At 50.7% G+C, this 23,633-nt stretch overlaps 1 protein-coding gene across 17 annotated transcripts, besides 4 other annotated features; it reads left to right on the top strand.

The window, feature by feature from the left end:
* Positions 2,225–3,011: an enhancer, noted in NCBI's record as "H3K27ac-H3K4me1 hESC enhancer chr17:7018293-7019079 (GRCh37/hg19 assembly coordinates)". NCBI's record gives its function as "activates a minimal SCP1, AML or CMV promoter by ChIP-STARR-seq in naive H9 embryonic stem cells {active_cell/tissue: H9 hESC(naive)}" and the evidence as "EXISTENCE:reporter gene assay evidence [ECO:0000049][PMID:30033119]".
* Positions 2,839–16,663, top strand: ASGR2 (asialoglycoprotein receptor 2). 17 transcript variants are annotated; one of them, XM_017024651.2, is made up of 10 exons: positions 2,839–2,931; positions 3,174–3,370; positions 3,675–3,811; positions 9,097–9,228; positions 9,428–9,523; positions 10,078–10,149; positions 10,668–10,754; positions 10,834–10,985; positions 15,789–15,895; positions 16,245–16,663. In XM_017024651.2, exons 3-10 carry the CDS (start codon positions 3,745–3,747, stop codon positions 16,408–16,410), a joined length of 879 nt encoding a protein of 292 aa, XP_016880140.1. In that variant the 5' UTR covers positions 2,839–2,931; positions 3,174–3,370; positions 3,675–3,744; the 3' UTR covers positions 16,411–16,663.
* Positions 4,817–5,317: an enhancer, noted in NCBI's record as "H3K4me1 hESC enhancer chr17:7015987-7016487 (GRCh37/hg19 assembly coordinates)". NCBI's record gives its function as "activates a minimal SCP1, AML or CMV promoter by ChIP-STARR-seq in naive H9 embryonic stem cells {active_cell/tissue: H9 hESC(naive)}" and the evidence as "EXISTENCE:reporter gene assay evidence [ECO:0000049][PMID:30033119]".
* Positions 23,088–23,187: an enhancer, noted in NCBI's record as "active region_11601". NCBI's record gives its function as "activates an Ori minimal core promoter by ATAC-STARR-seq in GM12878 lymphoblastoid cells {active_cell/tissue: GM12878}" and the evidence as "EXISTENCE:reporter gene assay evidence [ECO:0000049][PMID:35858748]".
* Positions 23,278–23,377: an enhancer, noted in NCBI's record as "active region_11600". NCBI's record gives its function as "activates an Ori minimal core promoter by ATAC-STARR-seq in GM12878 lymphoblastoid cells {active_cell/tissue: GM12878}" and the evidence as "EXISTENCE:reporter gene assay evidence [ECO:0000049][PMID:35858748]".

Below are 23,633 nucleotides of genomic sequence, written 5' to 3'. Positions count from 1 at the left end.
TTCTGTGTATGTAAATACAGAACAGATAGACATGCAAACCCCATCACATATTTTATAAGGGTACCTACATATTTAGTAATATATATTGTTTCAGCTATCTACCGATGCATAATAAACCACCCCAAAGCTCCAGTGGCTTAAACCAACTGTTTTTTCTTAAGATTCTCTGGGTCAGAAATTTGGGCAGGGCTAGGCTGGGCGGTCCACGGGGTATTGGTTGGAGTGAAACACTTGGATACAATCAGCTGGTGACTGGGCTGCCCTGGAAACTCCCAGAAGACTTTGCTCACATGTCTGGGGCCTCAGTGCACCTCTGTGTGGCCTCTTTCTCTCTCCATGTGCTGTCTTATCCCCCAGGACTCTCTCTGGCAGGATAGTTGGACTTCCTCATAGCATGGTGACTGACTTCCAAGATTGAAAACTGAAGCTACCAGGTTTCTTGAGGTCCAGGCCCAGAACTGGCAGAGTGTCATTTCTAGTGCTTTCTGTTGGTCAAGGCAAGTCACAGGGCCAGCCCAGACTCAAGGGGAGGGGAAACAGACTCTACCCCTGGCTGAGTGGTGTGACTTGCACATGTGGTGAGGGGAGAAATTGATGGGCACCATCTGTGGGGACTGTCAGGGCACTCAGACTTCTGGCTGCCTATAGAGAGTAGAGAGTATAGAATTAGTGAGGGGAAACAGGATGGGAGCTAGGGAAGAACGAAACAGGACAAAGGTTTAGCTCAGACCTCTGAGGAAGACCTAGTGTCATGAAGTAAGGAATATGACCAATCTAACCTTTGTGTCTGAGGTACAAATAAACCCCAAATCAAAATCAACCAAATAAGGCCGGGCGCGATGGCTCACGCCTATAATCCCAGCACTTTGGGAGTTTGAGATGGGCGGATCACCTGAGGTCAGGAGTTCAAGACCAGCCTGGCCAACATGGTGAAAATACAAATAATTAGCCGGGCGTGGTGGTGCATGCCTGTAATCCCAGCTACTCAGGAGGCTGAGGCAGGAGAATCACTTGAACCCGGGAGGTGGAGGTTGCAGTGAGCTGAGATCGCGCCATTGCATTCCAGCCTGGGTGACAAGAGTGAAACTCTGTCTCAAAAAAAAAAAAAAAAAAAATCAATCAAAGAAAATAGGATTCCATAACCCAAAACAGAAAACCTCCAACAATATGGAAACTTCAGAAATAGTCCAAGTACATGTTAACTTCTAAGTTAAAATGATTTTCAAATAGGGAGAAAGAGAAGGACGCAGATGAGTCTGGCTTTCTCTGTCCCTTCTCTCCCTGTAGTGCCGTGAGTGGGGGTGTAAGTGACAAGCCCTGAAACGTGGAATTGGTTCAGTCAAAGGGGTGGCCAATGAGGATGGCCCCATCCCTGGTTGGCAGTTGGCAAAGCTTGACATGCAGTAGACAATCCATCTGTGAAGCTCTTACCTGTATCTCAGGACTAAATCCACATGCCCCTTAAGATGGGGGCTTCACAGCAGTGTTGTTCAGACTTTGAGTTGTGACCCATTAATGGACTGGGAAACTCAACAGAAGGCACGTAGTAAGGTGAGCATTGTCCCATCAAACTTTAGTGTCAACCGTGTATTTCCAAACGCATTATTCTATTCACTCACTCACTCAGTAGATACTTGTTGAGCAGCTACTGTGTGGCAGGCACTGGGGATCCAGGAGAAAGTAACACATACAAATGCACCTGTGTGTGCGGGTGCTTGTGTGTATGTTCTGGATCACAGCATGAAATTCGTCTCTCGCTGTGGGCTGCAGTCAGAGAGCCCAGCGGCTGCTGCTGCCTGGTGGCTGGGTGGGAATGTCAGGGTACTGGGGGGGTGGCTACTTCCCATGTGGGTCAGCAAGTTACAAGAACAGAAAAGGCCTCTGTTTGAATTCCTTTTCGGCACCCGGGGAAACGAGCAGCTTTATAAGAAACCCTGCCCGTAGCCATCCGCCCAAGTTTGGTGAGGGTCAGAAAATCATGCACAAAAACTGTGTTTTCTTTCCCGAGCTATTGTTAGCGCAAGTGTAGACAGTCAGCCACGTTCCTTGCTTCATGGAAGCCAGTCTTCCTCGTAGGACCATGAAGACCTTTTCTTTTCTTTTTCTTTCTTTCTTTTTTTTTTCTTTGAGATGGAGTTTCTCTCTTGTTGCCCAGGCTGGAGTGCAATGGCGCAATCTTGGCTAATGCAACCTCCGCCTCCCAGGTTCAATCGATTCTCCTGCCTCAGCGTCCTGAGTAGCTGGGATTACAGGCCCCTGCCACCACGCCCGGCTAATTTTTGTATTTTAGTAGAGACAGAGTTTCACCATGTTGGCCAGGCTGGTCTCGAACTCCTGACCTCAGGTGATCCACCCACGTCGGCTTCCCAAAATGCTGGGATTACAGGCGTGAGCCACCGTGCCCGGCCAGACCTTTTGTTATGATGTTATTTTCCCCTCTTTACTCCATTTTGCTTTGCCAGTTTCTCTACTCACCTGGGCCACCACCTAGAGCAAGTTGCCTCATCTCTCCGAGGCTCCGCTTCCGAACCCTGTGAAATGGGAGTAACAGAAGTCCTGCCTCGTGGGGGTGTTGTGCTGTGATAAATGAAGAAACACCTTGGAGAATTTAGGGCAGTGGCTGGGCCTGAGGACAGTGTTTGTGTTGCCTGGGCTGGGGCAGGGTCTGGGCCGGACGGGGCTCTCTGAGGTTGGATTCCTCCTGCGAGGAGAGCTGTTTTTCTGCAAAGCCCCTTCCTCCTCCTGCTGAAGCTTCTGGATTTGAGAGGCTTTACTCTCCAGGAGAGTGAAGCGAGTTGGGCCAGAGCTGAGAGTCTGGTGGCCGAGCCCACAGGAAGCTGGGGTCTGTGGTTCAGATGCCGGATTGGGCAAGAGTAGAGAACTGGTCGCTGTGATCCTGGTCAGGGATATTTGGAGACACCCACAGTTCTGGTAAATTCGGAGGCAGGAAGTGAGAGGGGGAGGGAGAGAGGGAAACGGCAAACTGCACCCCAGCCCCTCCTGGCCTGGCACCCCTTCCAAATGGTGCAATGAGTGGGGTGAGTGGCGTGTGGAGTTGAGCGCAGCCCAGGGGACCCCCCTCTCTGGGAATAAGAACAGAGATAGCCCCGTCCCCTGCCCCCACCCCACAAATGAGTTACAGCTCTGTTTCCTCTTCTGTTTACTGTCCAAAGTCCCAGGCCAGGAGGTGCCAGGTTAGAGCTTGGACACTCAGACCCTCCAGTGCAGGCCTTGCCCGGACCAGCCCCTCCTCCACTCTCCTCTCCCCTGTGAGCTCCACCTGCCCCAGTTCTCCTGGCTTTAACCCCTCCTTGGCCAAGGCCAGGGTTGCCTGCGGGAGCCAGGTGTCCGCTCTCCACACCTTTCACAGGTAACTGAGGCTGGGGAGGCAACTGGGACGAGGATGCTTGGGAACAAGGAGGCCTTGGTTCAGGGATGGGGAGGACCCCATGGGAAGCTGTGGGTGGTCGGGTCCATGAGCGTGGGGAGGGGTCTCCTGGCCAGGTCAAGGCCCAAGCGGTCTCCTGAGAAGGGAAAGGACCCAGCGGGATTTCAAACCTCATCCCAAACGCCCTGCCAACCTCAGATCCTACCCAGGCCACCACCCCGAACCCCTCCGACCCTGCGTTCCATCCCACCATCAACCTCCACGTGAATCTGCACCTCTGCCCCAGCCCCAGCCCTCAGAGCAACCTCAGCCCAGCCCAGCCCAGCTCCAGCTCCAGCTCCAGCCCGGGCCCCATCATGGCCAAGGACTTTCAAGATATCCAGCAGCTGAGCTCGGAGGAAAATGACCATCCTTTCCATCAAGGTGAGGGGCCAGGCACTCGCAGGCTGAATCCCAGGAGAGGAAATCCATTTTTGAAAGGCAAGTGTGCAGTTTCTGCGGCTTTGCTCCCCCTCTGTCTCAGCTCATGATTGCTCTGTCCCTTTGAGGTCTCTGCCGCACCCACTCTGTGAACAGGGACTGAGGAGGGCCCGACACCCCCGCTTGTTCCCTCACCTCACCTTCCTGTCTACCCCAGGACCCCAGGAAAGGCATGTGCCAGAGGTGTGGGGAGATCTGGAAGATAACTGCCTGCCCTTCTCCTCCCAACCCAAGAACACATGTGCCTCGTATGTGCGTGTGCACGTATGTGCATATGAGGAATGCAGATTCAGCTGGGACTCTGTGTGTGTGTGTGAGTGAATGTTGTGTGTGTGTATATGTGCGCGAGAGCGTGCATATGTTGTGTGTGTGTATGTCGTGTATGTGAGAGGGTATGTTGTGTGTGAGAGTGTGTTGTGTGTGTATGTTGTGTGAGTATATGTTGTGTGTATCTTGTGTGTGAGTGTATGTTGTGTGTTGTGTGTGTATCTTGTGCATGTGTGTATGTTGTGCGAGTGTATGTTGTGTATGTGAGTGTGTGTATGTTGTGTGTATGTTGTGTGTATGTATGTTGTGTATGAGTGTGTGTATGTTGTGTGTGTGTACGTTGTGTATGTTGTGTGTGTGTTGTGTGTGTGTATTGTGTGAGTGTATGTATGTTTGTGTGTTGTGTGAGTGTTGTGTATGTTGTGCGTGTGTGTATGTTGTGCGAGTGTGTGTGTTGTGTGTGTATGTTGTGAGTGTGTTATGTATGTTGTGTGTGTGAGTGTGTTGCGTGAGTGTGTGTGTTAGTGTGTGTATGTGATTGTATGTGTGTGTGTGTGTGTGTGTAGAGGTGGGGTGAGTTGGGATGGGTGGGGGACGTGAGCACAGAGAGATCCTGGAAGATCCCTGCTCCTCTCATCTCCCAAGACCCTTCCCTGGATCCTTCTGTAATAAATCTTGACTGAAGGACCTAAGTATCTTGGACATTTTTTTTTTAGAGACAGGAGTGTAGTGGCAGGATCATAGCTCACTGCAACCTCGAACTCCTGGGCTCAAGCCATCCTCCCACCTCAGCCTCCCAAGTAGTTAGGACTTACAGGTGTGCACCACTGTGCCTGGCAAATTAAAAAAAATTTTTTAGAGAAATGGGGTCTTGCTATGTTGCCCAGGCTGGTGGGAAAAGATTTTAAGGTGAGAGAGATCTGAGCAGTGCTAGGCAGAAGGGCAAGAGCCAGGAATGGAGGAGTGTCAGGTGTGTGGGTGCTGGTGGTGGAGCCGGGTTCCATGGAGGCAGGAGGAGCAGGGGCTTGGAGCTTAGGAAGGGGATTGGTTAGCTGGGCTGGAATGAGGGACTCCTCATTCCTGAGGCTGGCCAACCGAGGGAGGGCCGGTGCTGGGCAGGGCAGGGCAGGGGACAGGAGGGATAGGAGGTCCCTCCCGAGGACCACTCAGGAACACCAGTAGCATCTCCTCTCTCTGTAGGGGGCTGGCTGGACTTCCCACCAGGCGGTGTCCCCACAGGCAGAGGCCCTGTCCGCCTCACTCTCCTCTGCAACTCCAGTGCCCACACGGCACCCGGTACATAGTGAACACTCAGAGAGAATACGGGATGCTGCTGAATCTTCTGAGGGTGACAGAATTTAGAGTTTGAGCAGGAGGCTTGGAGAGAGGCCAGGATTTCTGAAATTAATGGGAGAGTGAGCTCACGCGAATGGGCTGAGGGACACCAGTGAGGGACCGTCTGAAGGGATGTAGCAAAGTCACCGCATTTCCCTCCAGCAGCCCGGGTGGTGGGGGCTGGGGGAACGTCATCATGGGAGCTGACACTGATCAGCTGCTCACCGGGGCCCATCTTCCACTTGTCTCAGCACTTGATTTTTTTCTGCTACCCCCTTTTTCTTTTAAAGATTTCAATTATGCATGTATTAAGGGTCCCACAGCTCACTCATTCTCTTTCCATTTTTTAATTCTTTTTTCTCCCAGTGTTTCATTTTATAGAGTTATTGCTGTTCATTAAGTTAACTAAAATTTTCCCCTTCCCCTCCCCCTCCCCTCCCCTCCTTTCCTTCCCTCGCTTCCCCTCCCCTCTCTCTCTCTCATCTCACTCTGTTGCCCAGGCTGGAATGCAGTAGCTTGTCACAACTCACTGTGGCCTCCACCTCCTGGGCTCAGGCGATCCTTCCACTTCAGCCTCCCAGGTAGCTGGGACTATAGGCATGTGGCACCACACCTGGCTAATTAAAAATTTTTTTTTGTAGAGACGGTTTTGCCATGTAGAGGGGTTTTGCCATGCTGCCCAGACTAGTCTTGAGCTCCTGGGCTCAAGTGATTCCCCCCGTGTCGACCTCCCAAAGTGCTGGGATTACAGATGTGATCCACAGTGCCTGGCCCTAAATTTTTCTTACGCATTTCTCATCTTCCATTATTTCCATCCAGTGTGTTTTTTCTTTTCTTTCTTTTCTTTTTTTTTTTTTTGGAGGCGGAGTCTCGCTCTGTTGCCCAGGCCGGAGTGCAGTGGCGCGATCTTGGCTCACTGCAAGCTCTGCCTCCCGGGTTCATGCCATTCTCCTGCCTCAGCCTCCCGAGTAGCTGGGACTACAGGCGCCTGCCACCACGTCTGGCTAATTTTTTGTATTTTTAGTAGAGATGGGGTTTCACCATGTTAGCCAGGATGGTGTCGATCTCCTGACCTCATGATCTGCCCGCCTTGGCCTCCCACAGTGCTGGGATTCCAGGCGTGAGCCACGGCGCCTGGCCAGTGTGTTTTTTCATTTCAGACATTGTAGTTTTTATCTCTAGAAGTTCACCTGGGGACTCTTAAATATCCTCCACAATTCTACTTAATTTTTTGAACATAATGGGATATGGCTATAATATCTGTTTTACCATCCTTGCCTGCTAATTCTAGCATCCGTGTCAGTTCTGGATCTCTTTTGATATTTATGAACCTCCTCGTTATGCATTGTGTTTTCCCGTTTCATTGCATGCCTTGTAATCTTTGATTGGCTGCCAGACATTGTCAATTTCACCTTGTTGGGTGCTGGATATTTTTGTATTCCTCTAAATGTTCTTGAGCTTTGCTCCGGGATGCAGTTAAGCAACTTAGAGTCAGTTTGATCGTTTGAACTCTTAATTGTTTTGGTCTCCTCGGACTCTCAGCTCCATCTCCTCAACGTGGGGAGTCTCTTGGGCTCTGCCTGGACTTCCCTTTCCTGGCCTGTAACCTGCAGACTCTCTCCAAACAGTAAGCTGGGGTGATCGGAGGGTTCCTGTTGTTTGCTTCTTATCCCTCAGGGATCTTTACTCCTCCTTGCCTGATGTCCAGAGTCTTGAAAGCTGCCATGTTCTATAGTTGTCTGTTTTTGTTTTGATTGTTTCTGGGGAGAGAAGAACTCTTCCCATCTTGGGCAGACCCTGTCTTTTATGTTCAAACTTTTGCCTAAGAAGCACATTACATATTTTAACTCATCTAATTATCCGAGCAATCCAATCGGGTAGCTACGACTGTGATCTCCATTTTACACACGAGAAAATGGAAGCATGGAGAAATTGAATGCTGGTGCATGATCTCAGAGCTACCTGGAGGCACAGCTGGGCTACCCTGTGGGCAGTCTGGTTTCAGGGTGGATATACAGACACGTTGCTGGGCTGACCCAGCATTGGGAGTTGATAAGTCGGACTGGGAAGCAGGACAGGACCCTCTGAGTGGAGGGTGCTGAAGACAGCAGTCAGGGACTCAGCCATGGAGGGCCAGCTTGGTGGGGAACACCGTGGTCATGGAGCGCTTCTGGATGGAGAGGAATGCAAAGGCCTTGGAGGAAGGGGTGGGGGCAGTGAGAGGGAGGGTGGGGCTGTGCTCAGAGCGGGAGTGGGCAGTGGAGGTGTCAGAGGCCTCCCTGGGTCAAATGGGGTCCTGAGTGTGGCTGCAGTGGGGAAGGTGGAAGTCACTGGTGTGAAAAAGATGAAGAGTTATGGACAGTCACTTACAGGGGCAGTGTCTGACTCAGGACAGTGGCAGGAAGTGACCTGGGGAGGAAGATTCTGGGCCCCTGACTGAGCCTCCCCAGGATGTGGTCCTGCTGGGTCGGGGGGTGATAGGAATGAGAAGACAAGGAAGTCCACAGAGTCAGGGTCCAAGGCCTAGAAGGTGTTCTGTTTGCAGGTGGATGCTGCAAAGAGAGGAGCTCAGGGCTGGGACAACTGGAGCTGCTCTGGGTCTGGAGGCAGCAGAGAGGGAGCCCAGCTCTGTGTGCAGGAAGACGTGGGTGTGTGAGTGTACGTGTGTGGGTGTGTCAGGTGTGTGTGTGTGGGAGGGAGTATGAATGTGTGCATTAGCATGCATATGCACATGTGAGAGTGGGTACAGCAGAGCGTGGTCATGAGTGTGTGCAAATGTGTGTTTTTGAGTGAAGTGAGCAATGTGTGAGTGTGTGAGTGTGTGTGAGTTTGTGAGGGCATGTGAATGTGTGTGTCAGTGCTGTCAGGGTGCAGATGGATCAAGGGGCAGGAGAGGTACCTGTGAGATGACCTCGGGCTGAGGGGAGCAAATTTAGTGTGGAACGAGGTTTCTAGGGAAGCGAGGGCAAAGGGCGCTGGGGAGGAGGCCTTGCGTGGTGGGGGATGAGGACAACAGGTGGGACCTGGAGGGTTGTGCTTGGAGAGTGGGCTATGGTGGAATGACCCAGATTTAAGGATCTCAATGGAATTTTGGCAGGGGAGGGACTGTTCCAGTATGGATTTTAGGAAGAACACAGGGCCCAGCTTCTGGAGTCTCCAATCTGAGGGGACAGGAGCCTTAGAAGAGCTGAGACTAAGGCCCGAGGTGATCTGGAGGCCTCTGCCACTGGCTGGATGGGAGGAAAACCATTCACAGATCCCCCTTCTCAGGATGTGTGCCTAGGCAGGGCCGGGTCTGCCCCCCCGCCCCCTGTGCGTCTCCCAGTCCCCCAGCTCCAGGATCCGGGCTTTGCACACAGCTGATGTGAATATCCTGAGTCGTGTGCATGGGTGTGTGTGCACCAGATTAGCTGCGTGTGTATATTTATACATGGTAATATGGGTGCGAGTGTGTAAGAGTGTGTGTGTAATGCTCAAATGCTGGGGTCAAAGCCTATGATGACCCCCCCCCATGGCCCCAACCAATCCCCCCGCCCAGGTTATGCCTCCTCAGGCTTCGGTGCCCTGTCTTTACCCTCCGGCTCCCCACACCCAGGCTGCCGGCTCCTGATGCCCCTCTCCCACAGGGCCACCTCCTGCCCAGCCCCTGGCACAGCGTCTCTGCTCCATGGTCTGCTTCAGTCTGCTTGCCCTGAGCTTCAACATCCTGCTGCTGGTGGTCATCTGTGTGACTGGGTCCCAAAGTGAGGGTCACGGGGGCCAGCAGGGATGGGCAAGGGGTAGGGAAAGAGACATGGGCAGTGGCGGGCAGCGATCGGGGCGATGGGAGGGGAAGGGATGGAGGCGGGGTGGAGCACAAGCTGGGGCAAATGCGGGGACATTGAGGGGCCAGTCACATGGACAGTGATGGGGACACGGCCCCTCTGCCTCATCCTGCCCCCACTACCACCTGACAAGGTGCACAGCTGCAAGCCGAGCTGCGGAGCCTGAAGGAAGCTTTCAGCAACTTCTCCTCGAGCACCCTGACGGAGGTCCAGGCAATCAGCACCCACGGTGAGGGGCTGGACGGCTGGGTTCTCATTTATCCGCACAGGTTTGCTGGGCTCAGTGCCGAGTCTGCAACAGGGCTGTGTGGGGTGCCGTGGGGGTGCAGGCTGGGCAAGGCGTCCAGGGGCCCTGGGGGATGTATAGGAGGGAGGCAGGTGGGGACGGACGAGGTTAGTGCCAGGTGGAGAGGTTGGATCTGCGACACCCGGAGGTGAGGAAGGCACCATGTCTTGGGCCTGTGAGCAAATCGAGTGTGGCAGGCCCATCGGAGGGGCAGGCAGGTAAGGGGTGGCCAGAGAGAGGTGGGGAGGGGCCCGGCCACGCAGGTGAGCCGTGCTGACAGAGCGAGGCTTTATTTTGAGAAAATGGGGACCCATTGAAGGGACTGAAGCAGGAGAGTGGCCTGAGCCACTGTGGCAGTGCAGGGAGCCTGGGTGTGGTCCAGGAAGCCAGGAGGTGGACGCCTGCATCGCCCAGGACGAGGCGCTGGCCCCCGGTCCCCCAGCAGCATGAGGACGGAGGGAGGCTCAGCGGGGAAACAGCTGGCTTTCCGCTTCCAGGAGGCAGCGTGGGTGACAAGATCACATCCCTAGGAGCCAAGCTGGAGAAACAGCAGCAGGACCTGAAAGCAGGTCAGAGAGCCTCCGGGGTGTGTGCGCATGTGCGTGCATGTGTACGTGTGCGGTGTGTGTAGTGTGTACGTGTGCGGTGTGTGTAGTGTGCACGTGTGCGTGCGTGCGTGTGTGTGCCTGCAAGCATGTGTATCTGTGTCTCTCTCCGTATGTGTGGTGTGATATGTCATGGATCTGTGTGTGGTGTGTAGTGTGGTGTATATGTGTGTGTTGTGTGTGTATGCATGTGTGGTGGTGTGTGTGAGATGAGTCTGTGTGTGTGCGGTATGGTATATGTGTGTGTACGCATGTGATGTGTGTGGTGTGTCTCTTGGTGTGTTTGTGTGTGTGTGATGGATCTGTGTGTGGTGTGGTCTATGTGTGGTGTACATGTCTGTGGTGTGTGTGTGGTATGGTGTGTGGTGTGGTCTATGCATGGTGTACGTGTCTGTGGGTGTATATGCTTCCCCAGCCACAGGCTGGAGCCTAGCAGGTGGGGACCACACCTGCCGGCAGCACTTTCAGCCTGTCTGTCCTAGATCACGATGCCCTGCTCTTCCATCTGAAGCACTTCCCCGTGGACCTGCGCTTCGTGGCCTGCCAGATGGAGCTCCTCCACAGCAACGGTAGGGGTGGGGCCGTCTCCAGGCCCAGTGTGCCTGCCCCTCCGGCTGGATCTCATCTCCCTGCCCCCTGTCCCCTCAGGCTCCCAAAGGACCTGCTGCCCCGTCAACTGGGTGGAGCACCAAGGCAGCTGCTACTGGTTCTCTCACTCCGGGAAGGCCTGGGCTGAGGCGGAGAAGTACTGCCAGCTGGAGAACGCACACCTGGTGGTCATCAACTCCTGGGAGGAGCAGGTGAGGCCACGCTTCCCACAGGCAGGAGGAAGCCCTTGGAAGGCCTGCTCTGGGAGGCTGGATCAGGCTTATTTTATCCATTTTTTTTTTTTTTTTGAGATGGAGTCTCGCTCTGTCGCCCAAGCTGGAGTGCAGTGGCACGATCTCGGCTCACTGCAAGCTCCGCCTTCTGGGTTCACGCCATTCTCCTGCCTCGGCCTCCCAAAGTGCTGGGATTACAGGCACGTGCCACCATGCCCGGCTAATTTTTTTGTATTTTTAGTAGAGACGGGGTTTCACCGTCTTAGCCAGGCTGGTCTGGAACTCCTGACCTCATGATCCGCCCACCTCCGCCTCCCAAAGTGGTGGGATTACAGGCGTGAACCACCGCGTCTGGCTGAACTTCAAAGTATTTTAATGCCACAGTAGTTAAGCCATATGATACAGGGGCCAGAATATATGTATTGTTTGCATTACATCAGGCTCTGTTAGTACTTTACAGCATACTGTGAGTACGAACATATTTTGCTTTACTGATCAGGTTGAACTTGCCAACATTTCATCAGTTTTGACCTATAAAAATGTCAGTTTCATGCAGTTCAACCTAAGATCTCAGTGCTCTGTGATTTGGCACACAATAAGCTCATGACCACTACAACTTCGTGGTGGACGGTGCTTTCGTCACTATGAAGCCAACGTGTGTCCCAGTTAATGCTTTTTGCCTTGAATTTATCTGATATATAAATACCACGGTCCTTGATTTTTTTGTCACTTGCATTTGCTTGCTGTATCTCTGTCCATCCTTTTGTTTCTTACCTTTTTGAATCTCTGTTTTAAATTAATGATTCTCAGTCTTGACTGTACATTGCAATCTCTTCAAGAGTTAAAAAAAATATATCGACTCCTGGATCTCGCCCTTAAAAATGCTGATTTAGGCCGGGTGCAGTGGCTCACGCCTGTAATCCCAGCACTTTGGGAGGCCGAGGTGGGCGGATCATGAAGTCAGGAGTTCGAGACCAGCCTGGCCAAAATGGTGAAACCCTATCTGTACTAAACATACAAAAATTAGCCGGGCATGGTGGCGGGTGCCTGTAATCCCAGCTACTCAGGAGGCTGAGGCAGGAGAATCACTTGAACCCGGGAGGCAGAGGTTGTGGTGAGCTGAGACTGCGCCATTATACTCCAGCCCGGGTGACAGTGCGAGACTCTGACTCAAAAAAAAAAAAAAATGCTAATTTAAATTAATCTTGGCTTCATCCTGGACCATTCCCTGAGGGGCAGCACAGGGCAGCTAAGCTTAAGGTATTTCTCCTATATAGGTTTTTTGTTTTGTTTTGTTTTTGATACAAGATCTGGCTCTATCGCCCAGGTTGGAGTGCAGTGGCATGATCTCAGCTCACTGTAACCTGTGCCTCCCGGGCTCAACGGATTCTCCCACCTCAGCCTCCCAAGTAGCTGGGACTACAGGTGCACACCACCATACCTGGGTAGTTTTTTGCATTTTTAGTAGAAATGGTGTTGTGCCATGTTGCCCAGGCTGGTCTTGAACCCCTGGCCTCAAGCGATTCGCCCGCCTGGGCCTCCCAAAATATTGGGATTACAGGTGTCTGAGCCACTGTAATCCAAAAACTGCACCTGGCAGGTTTTGTTTTTGATGTTTAAAAATCTAATAAGTACCTTTTCTTTTAATAGGTGAGTGTCTCATTTACATTCTAATAGATATGTTTAACCCTAGTCCTTTCTTTTTTCTGCTTTACATGCTTCTTAATTTTCTTACAATTGCTATGTGAGAGGTGTTCTTTTTGTTTTCTTCTTTATGGTATTTTGGAAACTATGTAGTTTATTTAGAGTTATTCCAGTGATTACTTGTATAACTTTAAATAATAGGCTGAAAATTATTGGCTTTGAAAACTAAAAGTTTGTATAACTTCCATAGGAAAGGTGAGGAGACCAGGATACCTCTTATTCCCATGTGTCTGAGTCTTTCCTTTCCTAGGTTCCTTAAGTGTTGTATCTGAAAAAAAAAAAAAATTTTTTTTTTTTTTGAGATGGAGTCTTGCTCTGTCGCCCAGGCTGGAGTGCAATGGCGCGATCTTGGCTCACTGCAACCTCTGCCTCCCAGGTTCAAGCAATTCTCCTGTCTTAGTATCCCGAGTAGCTGAGATTACAGGCACCCGCCATCGTGCCTGGCTAACTTTTATATTTTTTAGTAGAGACAGGGTTTCACCATGTTGGTCAGGCTGGTCTTGAACTCCTGACCTCGTGATCCGCCCGCCTTGGCCTCCTGAAGTGCTGGGATTACAGGTGTGAGCCACCACGCCCGGCCCCTCAAGTGTTTTATCTGAAATTTTTTGTTTATTTTTATTTTTTGAAATGGAGACTTGCTCTTTCGCCCAGGCTGGAGTGCAGTGACACGATCTCGACTCATTGCAAGCTCTGCCTCCCGGTTCAAGCAATTCTCCTGCCTCAGTCTCCCGAGTAGCTAGGATTACAGGTGCCTGCCACCATGCCTGGCTAATATTTATATTTTTAGTAGAGACAAGGTTTCACCATGTTGGCCAGGCTGGTCTTGAACTCCTGACCTCAGGTGATCCTCCCGCCTGGCCTTCCCAAAGTGCTAGGATTACAGGCATGAGCCACTACGCCTGGCTTTTTTTTTTTTTTTTTTTTTTAAGACAGAGTTTTGCTCTTTTTGACCAGGCTGGAGTGCAATGGCACGATCTTGGCTCACTACAACCTCCGCCTCCCAGGTTCAAGCGATTCTCCTGCCTCAGCCTCCCAAGTAGCTGGGATTACAGGCATGCGCCAACACGCCTGGCTAATTTTGTATTTTTAGTGGAGATGAGGTTTCTCCGTGTTGGTCAGGCTGGTCTCCAATTCCCGATCTCAGGTGATTCACCTGCCTTGGCCTCCCATAGTGCTGGGATTACAGGCGTGAGCCACCACACCTGGGCTTTTTTTTTTAGTATGTAGCTCAAACTTTTCATTTCCTTTCCTTATCATGTTCTCTTTTTTTTTTATATCTTCTTTCATGTTTTATGTCATTCTTTTTAAAATTTTTGAAGCATGTAAAGAAACTGTTCTTGGGAGCGGGGAGGGAGAGCATTAGGAGATATACCTAATGTTAAATGACGAGTTAATGGGTGCAGCACACCAACATGGCACATGTATACATATGTAACAAACCTGCACGTTGTGCACATGTACCCTAAAACTTAAAGTATAATAATAATAAAAAAGAAACTGTTCTCCAACATCCCCTCATATTCCGAAACAAGGCTTCTTTTCAAAGTCTATTTTTCACCTCTCTTTTTGATATCACAGTTCATTTTTCATCTGCCTCATCTTCCTCTTTCTTTTTGGGGGCATAAGTTCCATGATGATTTTCTCCATTACTTTTGTGAATGGGCACAGTGCTTTCTTTCCTATGGTTCACCCAGGAAAGGGGGAATGAATTCTCCCGGACTGTCTTCTCTGATCATCTGGCATGATTTGATTCCTCCTCTCAGTCTTTAACACGGCGGGCTGGATACTGCTAATTTGTAGTCTGCTCAGTTGTTCTGTTTCTCGTGGTGATGGGAGGGAGGGCTGGCAGCAGGTAGCAGCACATAGTGTGTGTTGTCTCCAGGCACTTTCTCTCCAACTCCGTTGACTCCTCTGAATTTGGGGAGCAGCCTCACCTGCCTCTGAGGGCTGCCCCTTCATGCATGGGACTTTGTCCTATTTGTGGGATTCCAGAATTTAGGGATGCCCCAGTTTCTGATGCTCAATCGGAAGAGGTGAATAACTGCAACCTTAGTTGTTTTTCTAGAGAGTGAGAGTAGAATTAGGCAATTGTCCTTCAAATACTGTTGGAAGGAAAATTCCAGGCTGTCAAAGGGAATTGTTAAGTGTGCACGTTGCTCAACGGATCCATCCCTCTCCACTTTCTCCACAAAACCAGGTGACCACACCTTCCCCTCCTACCCTACCGAACCACGGGACCTAGGTCCCCAGGAACAGCTGTATGTGTAAGAGAAAGCCACTTGGAGGGGCTACCGTGCTGGGAGTGTGGGTGCGCGTGGGTCCCGGGGAGCTATCTGCAGGCTCGAAGTCCACTTTCACCCAAGCCCCTGGCAACTGGCTGTCCGGGCTGCTTCCTCACACCCCGGTGTCTTCCTATTTTGCCCCGATTGTCAGACTCCACGTAGCTAGATCATAATGGGGCCCTGGGCAGTGGGTCCAAGCTTAGAAGCTCCCGGGCCTGACAGATCTCAGGAAATGACAGCTACACATAGAAGCGAGAGCTACCAGGGGCCAATGTACTTGAGAGGCCAGTGAAACTGAGATCTTCAGTGGGTCTGGGGTCTGGGGGGCAGTAAGAGCAGGGACCAGGGTCGGGATCCCAGGAGTTCGAGGCTGTGGGCAGAAGACAGGGAGAGAACCGGAACTTGGGTAGAGCCATAAGCTGGGAATGAAGGGGGACACCGGCCCAGGGCTGTGAACAGGGGACAGTGGCCACTAACTCAGGTACAGGATTGGCTCTCTGGCTCTGCAACTCCCTGCAAAATGTGGTCACTGCAGTGCCCATCTTAGAGAGCTTCTGAGGATTAAATGAGATCATCTTTGCACAGACAGCACGAAGTCTAGCCTAGCAAATGTGCACTGAACAGTAGCTAGAGTGACGGAAGAAAAAGCTAGGAAGCAGTCTTGTCGGGAGCTGGTGCTTCAGCCTGAGGGCAGATCAGGCTGGGGAAGGCTGAGAGGGGCCACAGTTCCATGCCTGCATGGAGGGAGGAGAAAGGCACAAGAGACTAGAAATTTCCTGTTTGCCTGTGTTTCCAGAAATTCATTGTACAACACACGAACCCCTTCAATACCTGGATAGGTCTCACGGACAGTGATGGCTCTTGGAAATGGGTGGATGGCACAGACTATAGGCACAACTACAAGTAAGTGGCCTCTTCCCTCATCTCCTTGTTAGATTTCTCTGGGGACAGCCCCCTGGCCTTTCACTCCAAGCTACCCTGACTCGTCCCTCAGGGACCAAATTCCCCAATCCTCTCCTCCCCAGACTCCAACCCCTCCAAAGCTGTGCTCTTCTGGGCTGGGGGTGAGGGTTGCTGGGACTGGGCATAGGAAACATCTTTCTCTGCGGTTGGGTTCTCCCCAGACTGGGTAGCAGGGCACACCCCAGCTCCACTCTCGGCCTTCAAGGAAAATGGTCATGAAGAGGAGGAGGATGGGTAAGTCGCTTTCTCACCACCGTGGCAGAGTCCGAGTTTTCTCTTGCCTCCTTAGGAACTGGGCTGTCACTCAGCCAGATAATTGGCACGGGCACGAGCTGGGTGGAAGTGAAGACTGTGTTGAAGTCCAGCCGGATGGCCGCTGGAACGATGACTTCTGCCTGCAGGTGTACCGCTGGGTGTGTGAGAAAAGGCGGAATGCCACCGGCGAGGTGGCCTGACCCCAGCACACCTCTGGCTAACCCATACCCCACACCTGCCCAGCTCTGGCTTCTCTGTTGAGGATTTTGAGGAAAGGAAGAAACACTGAGACAGGGGTATGGGGAAGAGCTGAGCAAAGAGAGAAAGGAGGTAGTTTAAGAGTCCCTGACCCTGGAGGACTGAGATCCCACCTCCTTCTGTAATTCATTGTAATTATTATAATCGTCAGCCTCTTCAATGGCGTAGGAAAGAAGAAACAAATGCTTGAATCTCTGTGTGGCCTGGTTATTGGGAACTGAGAAACAGCATGCAAAGAGGAGGGAGAGGGGAGGGCATGGAAGACGCAAGGCGCGCATCCTAGACAGCTGCTCCTTGGTCCCTAATCCCGAGGGACATTGGTCAGGGAAACGGGAAAGGGGCTTGGAGCAGACAGGCTTAGTGGCTGGCACTGGTGGGAAAGGGGTCGGCCGGGCTGTGGCTGGAGGGTCCGCCTGGCTCCCAGTGAGAGGTGACAGCGTGCTGGCAGTCCTCACAGCCCTCGCTCGCTCTCGGCGCCTCCTCTGCCTGGGCTCCCACTTTGGCGGCACTTGAGGAGCCCTTCATCCCGCCGCTGCACTGTGGGAGCCCCTTTCCGGGCTGGCCAAGGCCGGAGCCGGCTCCCTCAGCTTGCAGGGAGGTGTGGAGGGAGCGGCGCTTGCGGGCCAGCGCGATTTCCGGGTGGGCGTGGACTCGGCGGACCCCGCACTCGGAGTGGCCGGCCTGCCCCACCGGCCGCGGGCAGTGATGGGCTTAGCACCTGAGCCAGCAGCTGCTGTGCTCAATTTCTCGCCACGCCTTAGCTGCCTTCCCGCGGGGCAGGGCTTGGGACCCGCAGCCCGCCATGCCTGAGCCTCCCCGACCCCCGCTCCGTGGGCTCCTGTGCGGCCCGAGCCTCCCCGACCAGCGCCGCCCCCTGCTCCAGGGCGCGCTCAGTGCCATCGACCACCCAAGGGCTGAGGAGTGCGGGCGCAGGGCGCGGGACTGGCAGGCAGCTCCACCTGCGGCCCCAGTGCAGGATCCATGGGGTGAAGCCAGCGGGGCTCCTGAGTCTGGTGGGGACTTGAAGAACCTTTATGTCTAGCTAAGGGATTGTAAATGCACCAATTGGCACTCTGTATCTAGCTCAAGGTTTGTAAACACACCAATCAGCACCCTGTGTCTAGCTCAGGGTTTGTGAATGCACCAATTGACACTCTGTATCTAGCTACTCTGGTCGGGAAGTCGAGAACCTTTGTGCCTAGCTCAGGGATTGTAAACGCACCAATCAGGCCAGATAAGAGAATAAAAGCAGGCTGCCCCAGCCAGCAGCGGCAACCCACTCGGGTCCCCTGCCACACTGTGGAAGCTTTGTTCTTTCGCTCTTTGCAATAAATCTTGCTGCTGCTCACTCTTTGGGTCCACACTGCCTTAAGAGCTGTAACACTCACCACGAAGTTCCGCAGCTTCACTCCTGAGCCAGTGAGACCATGAACCTACCAGAAGGAAGAAACTCTGAAGACATCTGAACATCAGAAGGAACAAACTCCAGACACGCCGCCTTTAAGAACTGTAACACTCACCGCGAGGGTCCGCGGCTTCATTCTTGAAGTCAGTGAGACCAAGAACCCACCAATTCCGGACACACCAGGGCTCCCAAAGGAAACATCTTTCTCTGCGGTTGGGTTCTCCCCAGACCGGGTCGCAGGGCATACCCCAGCTCCACTCTCAGCCTTCAAGGAAAATGGTCACGACGAGGAGGAGGATGGGTAAGTCACTTTCTCACCACCGTGGCTCTGTCTTTTTGACCCCAAGCGGATCTAGACATATCTTCAACACAGGGTGTCACCAACAATCTCCACAGTGGGCAAACTTCCCGCTCCAAGAACATTCTGAAACTGACCTTAAAAAGACTATTCAGCGGTTATATTATTTATTTAAGTTGGAGTCTTGCTGTGTTGCCCAGGCTGGAGTGCAATGGTGCGGTCTTGGCTCACTGCAACCTCCACCTCCCGGGTTCAAGCGATTCTTCTGCCTCAGCCTCCCGAGTAGCTGGGATTACAGGCATGCGCCACCACACCCAGCTAATTTTTGTATTTTTAGTAGAAACAGCGTTTCGCCATGTTGGCCAGGCTGATCTTGAACTCCTGACCTCGGGTGATCCGCCCGCCTCTGCCTTCCAAAGTGCTGGGATTATAGGCATGAGCCACGGGGCCCGGCCCCATATTTTTAAATTTTTAAAGTACAGAAGTAATACATTCTATTAGTAAAAAAATGTTTTAAATGACACACACACACGCACGCACACGAGTGTCCTCTCAGTCCTCCTCCGTCTCCCCAGAGTCAACTCTTTCCTGTGTCCCCTGCCAGAGCCCTTCCTGTGTACATGAGTAGATGCAATATTATGTCATTACATAGTGCCTGTTCCGCTTCACAGTGTCTCGTGGACACCAGTCTAATCTATGCCATTACCTGGCAGGTTTTACCTCCTTGGATTTAGCAGCTGTAGAGAATTCCAAAGTAGGGATGTACCATGCATTATGTAATCATTCTCTGTAGGGGGCAAGTAGTTACCACTTTTGTTTCTTTGTTTTCACATAGAATGTTTCAAAGTAATTTTTTTGCTCATAAGCTTGGGATAGGTCAAGACTTCCCACTTTTCAGTTGAAAAATTTTCTAGGATTGCCCCTTCAAAATGTACACGATTGGGATTAAATTTAAAAAACCGTGAAAATAGGCTGGGTGCAATGGCTCATGCCTATAATCTTAGCATTTTGAGAGGCTGAGGTGGTGGGTCGCCTGAGCTCAGGAGTTTGAGACTAGCCTGGGCAATATGGCGAAACCCAGTCTGTACAACATGCACACACACACACACACACCCCAGCTGGATGTGGTGGTGCATCCCTGCAGTCCCAGCTACTTGGGAGGCTGAGATGAGGGGATAGTTTGAGCCCAGGAAATTGAAGCTGCAGTGAGCTGTGACTGTGTCACTACACTGCAGCCTGGGTAAGACAGCGAGATCTTTTCTCAAAAAATAAATTATGGAAGTAATAATACACTCTAAAGTTTTATAGGACTAGAATTTTTATAGAAAAGTAGAAATTTTATAAAGTCTATAAAACTAGAAGTATAAAGTCTATAAAACTAGAAGTTTTACAGGGCTCTAGGTTACTTGACCTGCCCCCTTTAGCTCCTCTTGCTGCCTGGAGAAACTGCTTTCAGTGATTCTAGCTGTTTCTTCTAGTACTGACATCTGCAGTTCTAAGTAAGACACACAAACTGATATTTCATCTTCGTATGAGTTGTAGACATTATTTAGTCGCTATCATGTAAACGAGGTAAAATCTTCCAATGTAGTCTACAATTTATATTTAAATACTACTTTAAAATTTGTATCAGTTGTATCTGTGTCAATATGGTTACTGCTGAGTCAACTACTATAATCTGATTACATTCCCTTTCTTGCACAACTCTCATTTCTTCTGAAAGTAGTCAGTATTCCATTAAAAAAATTTGCCTCATATTCTTTTAACTTATTGCTGAGTCTTCCTGAACTGTAAAAAGCTTGACAATATAATTTTTCCAGACGTGCAAACCAGTCGTATAATCAGTATTTTAGTTGTACTTGGTGTACTTTTTCCTAGAGCCAGAGAAGTGATTCCAAGTTTTATGGGGCCTGAGGTGTACACAATTTTGGGGAGCCCTCTGTAAGAACAATTACAAAATTATGGATATAAAATTAAGCATAAAAATTACCATTTATTTAAATTTAAAAAGTCACAAATTTCAAAAGCAGAGAGCTACCAGAAACATCACAGAATCTAGAAAATGCTATATATACATATATATATAAATTGTATGTGTACATATACATATATATGTGTATACACACACACACACACACATATATATATATATATATTTTTTTTTTTTTTTTGAGACAAAGTCTCGCTCTGTCACCCAGGCTGGAGTGCAGTGGCATGATCATGGCTCTCTGCAGCCTCAAACACCTGGGCTCAAGTGATCCTCCCACTTCAGCCTCCCAAGTAACTGGGACTATAGGTGCATACCACCACGCCTGGCTAATTTTTAAATTTTTTATAATGATAGGGTCTCACTAAACTGGGTTCAAGACCAGAAGGCCTTCTGGTTCAAGACCAGTTTGAGCCTCCTGGTCTCAAACTCCTGTGCTCAAGCGATCCATCTGCCTCGGCCTCCCAGAATGCTGGGTTTCCAGGGTTGTTACAGGTAGTTAGACAGGCATGAGTGGGCAGGAGGGGGCTTTCCCGCCCACTAGAAATGTTGGGTGATGGTTCAGCAATGATCACATCGCCTCTCTAAAAGTGATAAATTGGCCTTGCTCTTGTCGCCCAGGCTGGAGTGCAGTGGCACGATGTTGGCTCACTGCAACCTCCACCTCCCGGGTTCAAACAATTCTCTGCCTCAGCCTCCTGAATAGCTGGGATTACAGTCACCCACCACCACGCCTGGCTAATTTTTGTGTTTTTAGTAGAGATGGGGTTTCACCATCTTGGACAGGCTGGTCTTGAACTCCTGACCTCGTGATCCACCTGCCTCGGCCTCCCAAAGTGCTGGGATTACAGGCATGAGCCGCTGGACCCGGCCATGGAATTGACTTTCAAACTCAACGTAATTCCCTCGAGATTTTTACAAGTTGTTGCATGCGTCAACAGTTCATTTCTTTCTGTTGCTGAGCGCTATTCTATGGTATAGATAGACGTACCACAGTTCGTTTAGCCATTTACTCATTGAAGGACATCTGGGTTGTTTCCAGTCTTTGGCTGTTGCAAATACGGCTGCTATGAATATTCATGTGCAAGTTTTTGTGTGAACACACATTTTTATTTCTCTGGGAGAAATGCCTGAGTGCAATTTCTGGGTCATATAGTGGGTGCATGATTACTTTTAAAAGAAACTGCCAAACTGTTTTCCAGAGTGGTTGTACCATTTTATATTCCCACCAGCAATGTATAAATGATCCAGTTTGCCCACTTCCTCACCTGTATCTGGTTGTTGTCAGTATTTTAAAGTTTTAGCTCTTTGGATAGATATATAGTGATACATTACTGTGGTTCTAATTTGCGTTTCTGTGGCAGCTAATGAGGTTGTACATTCGTTCATGTGCTTATTTTCCATCTGCTTATCCTCTTTGGTAAAACATCTCTTCATGTCGTCTGCCCATTTTCTTTCTTTCTTTCTTTTTTTTTGAGACAAAGTCTCGCTTTGTCACCCAGGCTGGAGTGCAGTGGCGCGATCTCGGCTCACCACAACCTCTACCTCCCAGGGTCAAGTGTTTCTCCTGCCTCAGCCTCCCGAGTAGCTGGGATTACAGGTGCTCGCCACCACGCCCGGCTAATTTTTGTATTTTAGTACAGATGGGGTTTGCTATGTTGGCCAGGCTGGTCTCGAACTCCTGACTTCAGGTGATCCGCCTGCCTCGACCTCCCAACGTGCTGGGATTACAGGCGTGAGCCACTGTGCCCAGGTTTCTGCCCATTTTCTAATTGAGATTGTTTGTTTTTTCACTGTCAAGTTTTGATAATTCATTATATATTCTAGGTACTAACCCTTTGTTGGATAGGTGGTTTGCAAATATTCTCTCCAAGTCTGTAGCTTGTCATGTTATCCTCTTAACAAAAACCCCTTTCCAAAAAGACTAATATGGTAAACAACATCTTGGCAAGCCCAATTAAGGAACTGAGAAAAGTGACATGACCACAAGAAATAGGGAGGTTAAATGACACTTTTCCTGTTGTTATAGAGATTTGGCTAGATTCCCAAAGTTGAGAATGATCATTGGTAAGTGCCCATTTAAAACAGAGAAAAGCTGGATGCATGTAGGCAGGACTAACTAAGAGAGGCAACATAATCACCATCACTCTTCCCAGGCTACGCAAAAGATGAATGGAGATTTAAGGGGATTGTTTCAAAGCAATTCTTTTTTGTTTTTTTATTTTTTGAGATGGAGTCTTGCTCTGTCACCCAGGCTGGAGTGCAGTAGCGCGATCTCGGCTCACTGCAACCTCCACCTCTTGGGTTCAAGTGATTCTCCTACCTTTGCCTCCTGAGTAGCTGGGATTACGGGCACCCGCCATCATGCCTGGCTCCTTTTTGTGTTTTTAGTACAGACAGGGTTTCACCATGTTGGCCACGCTGGTCTCGAACTCCTGACCTCAAGTGATCCACCTGCCTCGGCCTCCCAAAGTGCTGGGATTACAGGCGTGAGCCACCGCGCCCGGCCTCAAGGGAATTCTTAGATGTGTAGCAAGGGATTCAACACTTTTTCCCTCCACAGGAAGGGGAATGCTTCTTTAAACCTCTATCAGTGAGATAATAGAGTTGCAAGGGAACTGTTTGTAGAGACAGTGGTTGTCTGCCAGGGGATAACACGAGCATCTCCCTGCCAGGCCTGATGGTAGCCTTATAAGATGCAGACACCACTGGGACCACTGTGGAATGCTACGTGAGAGGGGCAAGAAGAGTTTTAGTGGAGGCTATGGCTGTGTCCTCAGGAGTTTTGTGGCAGTTGTGAAGAAACAGACTCATCTCTGCTTCTTGACAGGAGAAGTCTGAAGACAAACATCTGGGCTGGAGTTGCCCCGTCCACCAGTCAATCAGGCTGCACTTGGTAGTCTGGCAGCATAATGTCAGAGAACCCGTGAGCCGAGGCGACTCTATAGATGTCAGGCTTGAGCCAGCTAGGAAGGACCCTGCCCAAGAGGACTGCATGGCAGAGCGAGGCTGTAAGAGGCGGTGGGTGTACAGTTTTCATCTGGGCAGGAACTGGTGGTGAACGGCTGGGTCACAAAAGATCCTGCGGGGGTCTCTGGACACCCCCAATAGACCTCATGAAAGCCAGTGTCGGATGCTTGCTGTGAAGACCTCCTCGACTGCCACACTAGCACAGATGGCAGCGCTGGTTTCCTTGCATTCTTCTCTCCCTTGACCCAGCCCTTGAGGAGTACTGAGAAGAGGAAAAGAAACAGAAAGGAGGAACAGAACCTCCCAGGACTCCAGTCCTGGCTTCTCTCAGTCAGTCCCCGAGATGATTCTTATGAAAGTGATTCACTAGAAAGTGCTCTTAGGAGAAGTGGACAGGAGAATGGGGAATCAGGAAGAGGAAGGGAAGGAAGGCAAGCGTGCATGCAATTGAAGCTCGCTGTGAGAGCTTGGTTCTTGGGAAAGGAATTCATCAGGAAGTGCTCGA

This window comes from Homo sapiens, chromosome 17, assembly GCF_000001405.40.
Source record: "Homo sapiens chromosome 17, GRCh38.p14 Primary Assembly".
NCBI classification, from domain to species: domain Eukaryota; kingdom Metazoa; phylum Chordata; class Mammalia; order Primates; family Hominidae; genus Homo; species Homo sapiens.
This window is presented reverse-complemented; position numbering and strand designations above follow the sequence as displayed.